General features: G+C 38.3%; 1 protein-coding gene across 18 annotated transcripts in view; it reads right to left on the minus strand.

The window, feature by feature from the left end:
- Positions 1–12732, minus strand: part of RALGAPA2 (Ral GTPase activating protein catalytic subunit alpha 2) — a 323115-nt gene that overhangs the window by 85891 nt on the left and 224492 nt on the right. The window lies entirely within an intron of this gene.

The raw sequence follows: 12732 nt of genomic DNA on the forward strand, positions 1-12732 counted from the left end.
AGTGCAATTTATTTTTGCAATGTGCAAAAATCCACATTGACAAAATACAGAATAAAAACCATATGACTTTAACAGACACAGAACAAGCATTAAATAAAATTTAACTCTCACTCATAATTAGAAAAACAAAACAGAACAAAAACTCTCAGCAAACCAGGAATAGAAGGGAAATGCCTCAATTTAATGAGAGCTTAAAGGGGGAAAAAGGTGTCATAATTAATGATGAAAGATTAAGTATTTTCTAAAAGAGATCTGAAAAGGCAAGGATGTCTATGTTCACCTCTTCTACTCAACATTTTTGAAGATCCTAGTCACTACAATAAAGAAAATTAAGAGAAAGAAAGAAGAAGGGTAGGGGAGAAGAGGGGAACATAAAGGTTAGAAAGAAGTAAAACTGTTTTTATTCACAGATATCATGATTATGTATATGAAAAGTCCAAAGAATTTAACTAGAATTAGTGAGTGAATTTTGATAAGCCTCAGAAAACAATATACTCCTCAAATCAGTTATATTTCTGAATGTTAGCAACCAACAATTGGGAAAAGACATGTAAAAATGTTGTTTATAACTGCATCAAAACAGAATGAATTTGATAAAAGAATGTGCAAGACATCTATATTGAAAACTACCAAACAGTGATGAGATAAATTAAAGACAAGCTAAATAAATGGAAAGATGTACAATGTTCATGGACTGGAAGTTTCAATATTGTTAAGATGTCAATTCTGCTAACATTAAGCTATAGATTCAACAAAACCCAATCAAAATTCTGGCAAGCCTTTAAAAAATATACATGTACCGAATACTTCTAAGTTCATAAGGAAATGAAAAGACATAAATTAGTCAAGATGATAATAAGAAGACTTATATTACCTAATTTCATGGCACACTATAAAAATATAATAATTAAGAAATCATTATAGTGGTACCAGGATAAACAAATATTTCAATAAAACACAATACAGAGTCCAAGAATAGAGCCATACCTACATGGTAATTGATTTGCAATAAAGGCAGCATATCAGTTTGGTGGAAGAAAAAAGCCTGTTTCAATAAAGACACTGGAACAACTGGAGAGCCATATGGAAAAGTGAACCTTGACCTTCATCTCATATCACACACAAAAATTGAGAGGGTTATAGACTGAAATATTAAAGCTAAAACCATAAAGCCTCCAGAAAAAAAATATGACAAAATTGCCACGACCTTAGGATAGGCAAGGATTTTTTAGGGTACAAAAGGCATAAATCATAAAATAAATAAATAAATAAATAAATAAATAAATAAATAAATAAATAAAAGAAAATACATTGGACTATATAGAAATTTCTAAAACTCTGCCCATCACAAAAATGAAAAGGCAAGTTATATATAGTCACCAAACAGAACATAGCCACAAGGTCCATCCAGAGGAGAACAAATTAAAAGTTTGTGTTATATTCACCCAACAGAATATTCCACAGTAACGAAAATGAACAAACCACAACTACATGTAACATCATGAAAATAATCCAAATATAATGACAAGTGAAAGAAACAGACACTAAAAAGTTCATACTACATAATTTCATTCCTAAAAGTTCAAAACCAAGTAAAATGAATCAATAGGCCCAAAAGTCAGAATAGTGGCCACTTCTTCATTGTATTAGTGATTGAGATGGGGCACGAGCAAGAATTAGGAGGCTGGCAACATCCTCTATTTTGATCTGGGGTGGTATTACACAAGTGTGTTCACTTTGAAAACATCCATCATGTTGTATACTTACAATTTGTGTCCTTTTCAATATTAAATATATTTCCAAGGAAACGTTTTCCAGAAAACAGCAAGAATACAGAGGATTTGAACAAGACAACTAACAAACTCATCATAATGGAAACATAAAATACTCTACCCAACAACTGCAGAAAACACATTCATTTCAAGCATGTACAGAATACTTTTTAAAAAGTGACCATATCCTCAGCCAAGGATCCACAAATACAGCCTGCAGGGCCTAATTCCAACCTGGCACCTACTTGTGTATGGCCTGCAAGCTAAGAATGCTTTTTACTTTGTAAACAGTTGGAAAAAAATTAAAAGAGTATTTTACTATGTGAAAATTATGAGATCTAAATTTCAGTTCATAAATAAATTTTAATGGAACACAGCCACACTTATCCACTTACACATTTTCTTTTTTTGGAGACAGAGTCTCACTCTGTTGCTTAGGCTAGAGTGCAGTGGCTCAATCTTGGCTCACAGCAACCTCCGCCTCCCCGGTTCAAGCAATTCTAGTGCCTCAGCCTCCCAAGTAGCTCAGACTATAGGCCTGTGCCACCAAGCCCAGCTAATTTTTTTGTACTTTTAGTAGAGACGGGGTTTCACCATGTTGGCCTGGCTGGTCTCGACTTCCTGGCCTCAAGTGATCCATGCACCTCAGCCTCCCACAGTGCTGGGATAATAGGCATGAGCCACTGTGCCCGGCCCACTTACACATTTTCTATGGCTACTTTTGCACAATAATGACACAGTTATTTAGTTGTGACAGACCCAAGGCCTAAAATATTTACTATCTGGCCCTTTACAAAAAATGTTTGCTGGCCTCTCTTCTAGGTTATAAAGCAAATCTCAATAAATTTCTAGGGGTGGAAATTTTACAATCCATATTCTGTGCCTAAAAAGCTATTGACAACAAACAACAACAAAAGGATAATTGGCACAAACCTCTATGTTTAGAAATTAAGAAATACACTTCTAAATAACTCATGGGTCAACAAAATATTGAAATGGAAATTTAGCAATATGTTAAGCTAACTGATAAAATAAGACTAGTAGATATTATAACTTATACCTTATAGCAGTACTTACAGGGACCGTGTAGAATGAAATGCTCATATTAGAAAGAAATAAAGACTGCAACATAATGAGATAGGCACCCATCTCAAGAAGTACTGAAAAACCAAAAGAATCAAACAAATTCAAAGAAAGTAGAAGGAAAGAACTAATAAAGATAAAAGTCATCATTTAAAAATAGAAAACAAACATACAATAAAAAGGAGAACCAAGATCGACAGTTAGTTCTTTAAGGAACCATAAAGAAAAAAAAAAAATCATGTCCTTTGCAGCAACATGGATGCAGCTGGAGGCCATTATCCTAAGCAAATTAACATAGGAACAGAAAACCAAATACCGCATGTTCTCACTTATAAGTGGGAGCTAAACATTGAGTACTCATGGACATAAAGATAACAACAAAAATTGTATAAAAAGATGGCAACAACAGAAACTGGGAACTACCAGAAGGGGGAGGGAGGGGAGCAAGGGTCGAAAAATTAACTATTGGGTAGTTAGTACTAAGCTCAGTACCTGGGTGACAGGACCATTCATACCCCAAACCTCAGCATCATGCAATATACCCAGGTAACAAACCTGCACATGTACTCCTGGAATCTAAAATAAAAGTTGAAAAAAAAAAGTTCGTTCTTTGAAAAAAGTCTAATACAATTGACAGGTCTTTGGCAAGGTGAATCAAGAAAAAAAAAGCACAACTAAATAATATTAGAAACAAAAAGGAATCCAACTATAGATACTTAGAAAATATACGTAGCTTTATGCCTATAAATTTGAAAGTTTAGATGAAATGGCCAAATGAGAAAAAAAATACAATTTAGCAAACACAGACACAAGATGATATATAAAAGCTATAATTCTATGAGCTTTAAAGTAGATGAATCATAGTAGAAAAAAACATTCTAACAAGGAAAAGCCAGCTCAGAAGCCTTCACTGGCAAATTCTATAAAATCTTCGAATAACCATATTCAAAATAATAAAATTCAAATAAAATCTTCGAAAGAACAAATAACTATTATTTTGGAGAAACTTCCATAGTATAGGAAAACAGAAAATATACTCATTTTATTAGGCTAGTACAATCTTAATACCAAAATGAGGGGCCAATCTCACTTATGAACATGCATACAAAAACCCTAACAAAATATCAGCAAGCCAATTCCATAATGTGCAAAAATAACAATATCATGACCAAGTCGGGTATATCCCAAGAATACAATTTTCAGTAAAAATCAGTCTGTATACAACCACATTAATAGATTGAATGAGAAAAGTCAGGTAATCACCTCAAAAGACATTTAAACAAGTGTTTAATAAAATCCAAAATCCAGTTAAGGAAAAAATTCTTAGCAATCCTGGAATAGAAGGGATCTTCCTTAATCTGTTCTAGAATACCTACAGAATTCCAGAGCAACCACTAAATGGTGAAACATTGAGAACTTGATGTGGGAGACTGTGAAGGAGAAAAGAAATGTCCCCCTACATCACATCTACCAACATTTGCACTGGAGATCCTTGCCAATACAGTAATGCAAGACACAAATAGAGGACTATGAATTAGAAAGGAAGAAAAACTGTCATTTTTTTAGATGGTATAACTGTACTCACAGAATCTCCAACATAATCTATGGCAAATGGTCAGAATTAGTAAGAGTGTTTATCAAAGTCAATGGATACAGAATACATTCACCAAAAATCCAAATGCATTCCTCTCCACCAGCAACAAATGGTTAGAAAAGGAAATATTATTTACAACAGCATAAAAATATAAAATAGATCTAACAAGGAAAGTATAAAGAAAGTTACAAAACTTTATTCAGAGATGTTAGTTTAAATAAATGAAATGATAGATGTGTTCTTGGACTAGAAGACTCAATATTGTTGTGACTTTCCTTCCTAGACTGACCTATGGATTTAATGCATGGCATGTATGTATCTTGACTAGCTGATTCTAAGACATTTGTAGAAATGAAATTGGCTAAAAAAAGCCAAAGAAGAACTGGGTAGGGACTTGCCTTACAGCAAGATATATCCCAACCTGTGGTAAGAAATACAGTATGAGTAAGGCACACGGGACCAGTGGAGTTACAGGAGGGCCTACCCACACAGCCTCCTGCCTGTTTGATGACTGCTGAAAATCATTCACCAAGCTAAGTGGGATATATTACCCCATGAGTTGGGGATGCTGACCCATAAGGTATGGTATGTCCTTTTTTCCTATCCCTATGATGATAGTCTCTGACTTTAGTTTTAGTACTTAAGGAGTACTTTAGTACTTAAGTACTTCCTAGAAGAAGATACAGTGTTCTCAGTGGGAAGAGGAAACTGATGGTCAGGTATTTTAGGCTCCACAGACCACTGGACACTGAGGCAGTAAAGGAGGCTCCAGGATAGACAGGGTGAGTGGTCCTGCCAGGGAAAACAGTGCTGCTGCTGTACAAAGCGGATGCGGAAGGGTTCTCATGGAGCACTCACTCCTGATCCCATGCTCAATGGTAAATTTAATGGAAGACAACATCAAGTATCAGTCCTAATCAGAACCTTATAGCAGTATTTCATCCTGCTGAGCATGTATATTTCACAACCACCTAAAGTTTCTGAGTGACTCATAAGTGCCCTCTCCTAACATGATGACCAAAGCCTGGGGATTAATAAGATTTTCCATGACTGCTGACAAACTGGATTTCCTTACCACCTGCAGATTAGGAGCTGCTTGTGGAGCCCCTATCATGTGTTCCTTGACTAAAGAAGTACAGTGCTCAGGGGAGGCACACACCTAGAAGGTGCAGCCCAAATTAATTTCTTTCTCAGGTTTGGGTCCAGATGAAGACACTTCATATCCAGGGACTCTTCTTGGCAAGATACTGTGAAAGCAAAGAGAGCCTTTTGCAGCAAAGTGATAACGCTGAAGTCCACGTGGCAACACTAGCCAGCATGCCAGCACAAGGAAGTGCCCAGTTGTTGGAGCAAAGACAAAAAAGAATCCTTAGGACACAGAAAATGATCTGAAATACCCATTTGATTTGTGGGGATGGGGATTAATCTTTCAAGGATGCAATGCAGACATCTTGATGGTCCAAAGCAGGGCAATGAACAACTGAACTCTGTTCCAATTCCTCACAGATAACCTCCAGCCTCCAGGATTGGAATATTGCCATGGATGGGCCTACCGAGAGGCAGGCCACATTGAAAATGACAAATGAAGAATGTGCGTGGCTTAACTTACCCAGTTTGGTCAGTTATTCATTCTGCTAAAAAACTGCAAGTATTGTGTTCATAACAATGATATGGCTGTGATTTCTGTGTCCAGATTTTTGGCACTGCCTTTATCATGCAAGAAGTGGGTAACTTAATACAAAGGTCTAGAATTCAAATTTCTCCTTGACTTCACACATATACCTATAATGTGAACACAGGATGTGTACACAGAATATAAAAAGCATCTGCATACAGGTGTGAAAACTGATACCTCTCTACTCTTAAAGAGATTCAGTCTACTGGGATTTAGGATGCTGGACTTGGTGCCAGAATCAAGTACTCTTGGATAAATTCTTTATGCTCTTATCAACTACATACATATTTGGAGCACAAGGGCAGTGTTGTCTGCCCTGTGGGCCTCACAGAGTGACTAAAAGGTTCAAATGCCCTACCAACCCCGAAAGCGTGTTGCAAATAGTACTGTCCTAATGAGAGGCAAGGTAAAAAAAAACCAAACAATTTTGAGATATATGTAAAAACCTTAAGAGAAATGTAAGGTATATTTCTGAGAAACAGAATTTTTATTTTCCTACATTCCTATCTCTGTATAATATAAATACATTCTCTAAAATACCAGAAGATAGCTTTTGGGAAAAATGAATACTCAGAAGACTCTAAAACTTTGTCTGAAAATTCTAAAGACTACAGTGAATCTTTCTGTGTCAAAAGGGGCAGAGATTTCATGTACCATCTGTTTATTTGCATCATTTGATCAAAGTTCTGTTAAGGGCTGTGGGGGAATACAGATATGAACAAGTCGAGGCTCTGAACTGTAGGTAGTTTGCAGAAGAGGTAAAACAATGTATTCAAGAAGGCAAAAGGGAAAAAAAGCTTTAGGGTGGACGCAGATAAAATATTCTGAAGCTACAGAGAGTTCTTTTCTAGCTGAGAGAAGCCATGGAAGTCTTCATGTAGGAAGTGGTCATGACAGTGGGTGTTGGCAGAGATTCACGGTGGGAAGAGCGGAGCACTCCAGACAAATGGTAAAAATAGGAATGAAAAGATGAGGTGGGTCTGGCTCTCTTTTCTAGCGCAGGGTTCCCCAAAGTGCACTTTAAGAGATACTAATTTAGCTGAGTGCTAGCTGGTTTGTATGAATGCTGTGCCTACAGTTAATGATTAAAGTATTACAGATAAATAAACAGAAAGACTGTGGACAGAACATGGCAAAGGACTGCACAGAGCTCCTGAGGGATTCCTGAGAGCAAAGTGAAGTCAGAGGTAGGGCCACAAAAGGAAGTGAGGCAGGCATAGAAGCCTAGACTGGATTTGAGAAGGATGGAAAGCTCTGGAATAGGTATGTACGGAAATGCATACAGATAAGAGAAAAGGCTGAAGAACAGGTATGGGAAGCCAGATGATATGGGACTTGATGAAATGCCCTGCAGAAATTACCAGCTTGCTCTCAAGACTCTGCACTGCTGTACTTGCCTACTCCTGCTCATCTACCCACATCATGTCCTGGTCATCCAAATGAAAGCAACACAGAGCACCAGGTAAGTTTCCCATCTTTTACTTAATGGAAAGGCTGAGCTGAAGGTACATTCACTGTGTGTGTCAGTAGGAGATAAGATCTGGTGGGTGGTGAGAATTGGAAAGGCTGCAGATCTGTTGGGTGTTCCTCACAAGTTAGGTGGCCAGAAACCAAAATGGTAAAGTCAGGTAGGAAAGAGTACATGTTTTTATACGTGGAGAGAAATACCACTGCCCATCAAAGAATGATGGAAAGAAAGGGCCTGTGAAGTCAATAGTAATTGCAATCATGATCACAATCTCTAAAACAGATCAATGTAACTGGTAGGGAATATTGCAACAGTGAATTACAAAATAATTTTAGGTTAAGAAGCCAATAAGAAAAGAAACTGTTAAAGTTTCTACACACATGAGAGAATGGGCAAGTGGAGGGTTGCCAGTGGGTTGAGCAGACCAGAGCTGCTTTCCATGTAAGTGCCTGGCCAAGGACAGTCGCCCTGAGAAGCTTGGCCCCAGCTGCTCCACAGGTAAAATTTCCTCATCACTAAGGCATCAGGACCATCCATCAAGGCTCAATCTGTACGACACCTGTGGAACCTCATACTGCAGGGCAGGTCTTCTCTTGGTGATCTGCCAATAACAAAGCACTGACCTCATGCATCAGGGAAACCATGTGCAACCCCCTAAATCCTGTGTACAGACTTAGGAAACAGAACTTCTTGAGGGCATTTCATTAGAACTACAAGCAACATGTTTTTCCCACATTTCTAACCAGATCCCTTAAGTAAATCTCAGACAATCAAGAAGTTCTAACGAATAATGAGAGAATCAAGTGCCAGACAGGAAATAATGAAGGATAAAAATGAGAGGCTAAAAGGGGAAAAAAAGTGGTTTCTGGATATTCAGAGAGAGCTATACGGACCTTGAGCTGATCTTGTACTCTAGTGATGCTGGTGCACAAACACAAGGGTAGGGACGCTATCAGGGGTGTCCTGCATAAAGGTCAGAACAGACAACCTAAAATGCTTCCTTCACCTCTGAGATCTAGGATTCAAGGATCTGACACAGTTTCCCCCTCTGGGAAATTCACAGTTCCACAGGGATTATGAATTAAGAGGGTGTGTTTGTACTTGTGCATTTATGCTTGAGATGTCAAAGTGGGCAACAGATAAATCTGCTAAGATATTGTACCAAAAGACAGTAATTTTCCCGTTGGGAAAAACAATAGTAGTCACATTATTTACCAGAAACACCAAGGAGTCCATGCACTGAACATTTTATAAACATTTTATGAAAAGTAAAATGTGTTCAATCCTAAATGTCTTCTTGTGTGTTCTATGGTTCAGGGTGGGATGTGGGAAGGGGAAGGCCATGCACCACCCTCCAGGAACACATAACTCCATGGAACTCCATGGAGCACCAGCAAGCAGCACTCTCTGAGGAGAGGCTGCTCAGGAAATGGTTCATTGGGCTTGGACTAGTTTCTTGAAGGTGGGAAAAGACTGATTTATATTCTATTTTGCAGAGCCTGAGCCAGACACGGAAAGGGATTTCCAAATAGTAAGAAAGTCCTCTTAGGGAACAATAGGGCATCTCCATGAATATATTTTAAAGATGGTTCATCACTTAATTGGGCCTGTAAGTGATTCTCCTTTGATGCCTTTGGAGTCAATGATTCTTAGTGATTAGAGATGAAAATAATATACATAATAGATATTTTTTGATTATAAGATTAAGATAAAATAACAAAAGAATCATAGACAAGGGGTTTAAAAGCCCAGGAACATTTCATTTTTGATGATGAGCCCAATGACTGTGATCCCTAATTACTGAACCTGGTTCTGATCTCAGTGCTCAATGTACAGTATGTAATTCTCACAACAACCCCATGAGGCCAGCACTTTATCCCTACTTCATGGAGGAAGAGATGAAGGCTAGAGGGGCTAACCGATTTGCTGTAGCTTAAGCTTGTGCAACCCATGGCCTGTGGGCCACATGCGGCCCTGGATGACTTTGAATGTGGCCCAACACAAATTCGGAACTTTCTTAAAACATTATGAGATTTTTTTTTTTTTTTGCAATTTTTTTTAAGGTCATTAGCTATTATTAGTGTTAGTGTATTTTATGTGTGGCCCAAGATAATTCTTTTTCCAATGTGGCCCTTGGGATGCAAAAGATTGGACAACCCTGCTCTAGTTCATGATTTGGGCCAACTCCTCACTGTGGCCTTGCAGGTTCTGCTATGTAATGTCCCCTGTACCCCTGATAATTTTCCCTGCTCTGATGTTAGCTCCATCTGATATTAATATAGTTATTCCAGCTTTCTCTGATTAGTGTGAGCATGGTATATCTTTCTCCACCCCTTTACTTTTAATCTGTGTCTTCACATTTAAAGTGGGTCTCCTGTAGACAACATAAATAGTTGGGTCTTGGCTTCTTTGGCACCCACTCTGACAGTCTCTTTTAACTGATATATTTAAGACGACTGACATGTATTTTATTCATTGTCCTTATTGTTTTCTTTTTTGGTCTTCCACTCATTTGCTGCCTTCTCTAGTTTTAAGTGAGAATTTTATATGAGTCCATTTTTTTCCTCTCTCGGCATATTATAATTCTTTTAAAAACATTTTATTGGTGGTTGCCCTGAGTATGAAAATACATTTATAACTAACCCAAATCCACTTTCAAATAACACTATACTGCTTCACAGATAGTGGAAGTTCCTTATAAGAGAGTATTCCCAATTCCTCCCTCCTATCCTTATAACATTGCTATCATTTATTATTCATCCATATGCTATAAGCATGAAATACTTGTTGCTATTACTATCTGGAACATATTGTTATCTGTTAGATCAATTAAGAATAAGAAAAGGGCTGGGTGTGGTGGCTCATGCCTGTAATCCCAGCACTTTGGGAGGCCAGGGTGAGCAGATCACTTGAGCCCAGGAGTTCAAGACCAGCCTGGGCATCATGGCAAAACCCTGTCTCTAGAAAAAACACAAAATTAGCCAGGCATGGTGGTGTGTGCCTGTAGTCCCAGCTATCCAGGAAGCCGAGGTAGGAGGATCACCTGAGCCTGGGGAGATCCAGGTTGCAGTGAGCCATGATCATGCCACTATATTCCAGCCTGGACAACAGACTGACAGTCTGTTTCAAAAAAAGAATAAAAAAAACAGATTTCATTTTACTTATATTTCTTCCTTCTCTAAAGCTTTTCCCTTCTTTAAGTGGGTCCATCTTTATGACTTCTATAATTTTTTTTTTTTTTTATGATGAAGGAAAGGCAAGGCAGGTCTACTAATCACACATTCCCTCAACTTTTGTCTGAGAAGGTCTTTCTCCTTCACTTTTGAAGGATAATTTCTCTGGATACAGAATTCTAGGTTGGTAGTTTTTTGTTTTTGTTTTTTCCTTTCAACACAATAAATATATTATGCCACTCTCTTCTTGATCGCTCAGTTTCTGAAGAGAAGCCCTATTTATTACCCTTGCTCTTCTGCAGCTACTGGTGCCAGCATAGGAGCCCTCTGGCTCCTTTCAAGATTTTCTCTTCTTTTTTGGTTTCCTGTGCTTTGTATGTGTCTAGGTATAGACATTTTGATATTTATTCTGCTTGGTGTTCCTGGTGCTTCCTGGATCTGTCATTAATTTTGAAAAATTCTCAGCCATGACAATTTCCAATATTTCTTCTCCTTTCTCTTCCTTGTATTCTCATTACATGTTGTTACATCTTTTGTGATTGTCACACAGGTCTTGGAAGTTCTGTTCAGATGTTTTTCAACCTTTTCTCCCCTCTGCATTCCAGTTTCACGGTTTCTACTGACACATCCACAGGCTCACAATTCCTCTCCTTGGCCATGCCCAGTTTACTCATGAGCCCATCCGGCATTCTTTGTTTCTGTCATAGGGTTTTTGGTTTCTAGCATTTCATTTTAATTATTTCTTGGAGTGCCTATCTCTCTACTTACATTAGCCATCTCTTCTTATATGTTGTCCACTTTTTCCATTAGTATCCTTAGCATATTAATCAGTAATTTTAAATTGTCAATCTGATTATTCTAAAATCTCTGCCATATTTGAGTCCGGTTTTGATGCCTGCTCTGTCTCTTAGAATTGTTTATTTTGCCTTTTAGTGGGCCTTGTACTTTTTGTTGAAAGCTGGATATGATGTATTGGGTAAAATGAACTGAAGTAATCAGGCCTCAAATGTGGGGTTTTATGTTTAACTGGCTAACAGGCCGTGCTTCTTGTTTTCTATAGCTGTAGATGTCAGAGGTTAAAATTTCTTTGAATGACCTTGCTGTTATCACCCATGTTATTTGTAGGCTTTTTTACATAACTTTTCTTAAATAAGATCTGGGATGTGCAGTTCTTTCAGCTGTACTCCCTGTTACTATACAAAAGCCCTCCTGATATCGTAGTTAGATATGGAGAAGAGGAAGCATTCTATAGTCCTAGGATTTAGTCTCAGTCTTTCAGTGAGCCTGTGCCCCTGGACTGTGACCTTCAAAAGTGCTTTTCAGTTTTGTTTTCTTGTCTCCTTCCAATTCCAACTTAGATGAGGTAGGAGACTAGAAGGCGTTGGTATTAAGTGTTTCCGTTCCCCCAGGCCAGACAGGCTGTGTGAAAATAGTTTCTCTTGGCTGGGCACAGTAGCTCATACCTGTAATATCAGCACTTTGGGAGGCTGAGGTGAGTGGATCACTTGAGTTCAGGAGTTTGAGACCAGCCTGGGCCACACAGTGAAATCCCATTTCTCCAAAAAAAAATACAAAACTTAGCCAGGCGTGGTGGCATACGCCTTTAGTCCCAGCTACTCAGGAGGCTGAGGTGCGAGGATTGCTTGAGCCCTGGAGGCAGAGGTTGCAGTGAGCTGAGATCGTGCCACTGCACTCTAGCCTGGGTGACAGAGCCAGACTCGGTCTCGAAAAAAAAAAAAAAAAAGTTTTTCTTGAGGGCAGACTTTGTTAAGAACAAAATACTTTGGGTATATAGTCATACCTAGGTATATGAGGGGGACTGGTTCCAAAACCAATGCCCCACCCCTGTGCATGCCAAAATCCAAGCATACTTAATTCCCACAATTGGCCCACAAATACCAAAAGTCAGCCCTCCATTTACATGGGTTTCGTCTCCCACAAATACTGTATATTTTCCATCTGTGTTT

This window comes from Homo sapiens, chromosome 20 (genome assembly GCF_000001405.40).
Source record: "Homo sapiens chromosome 20, GRCh38.p14 Primary Assembly".
Lineage (NCBI taxonomy): Eukaryota > Metazoa > Chordata > Mammalia > Primates > Hominidae > Homo > Homo sapiens.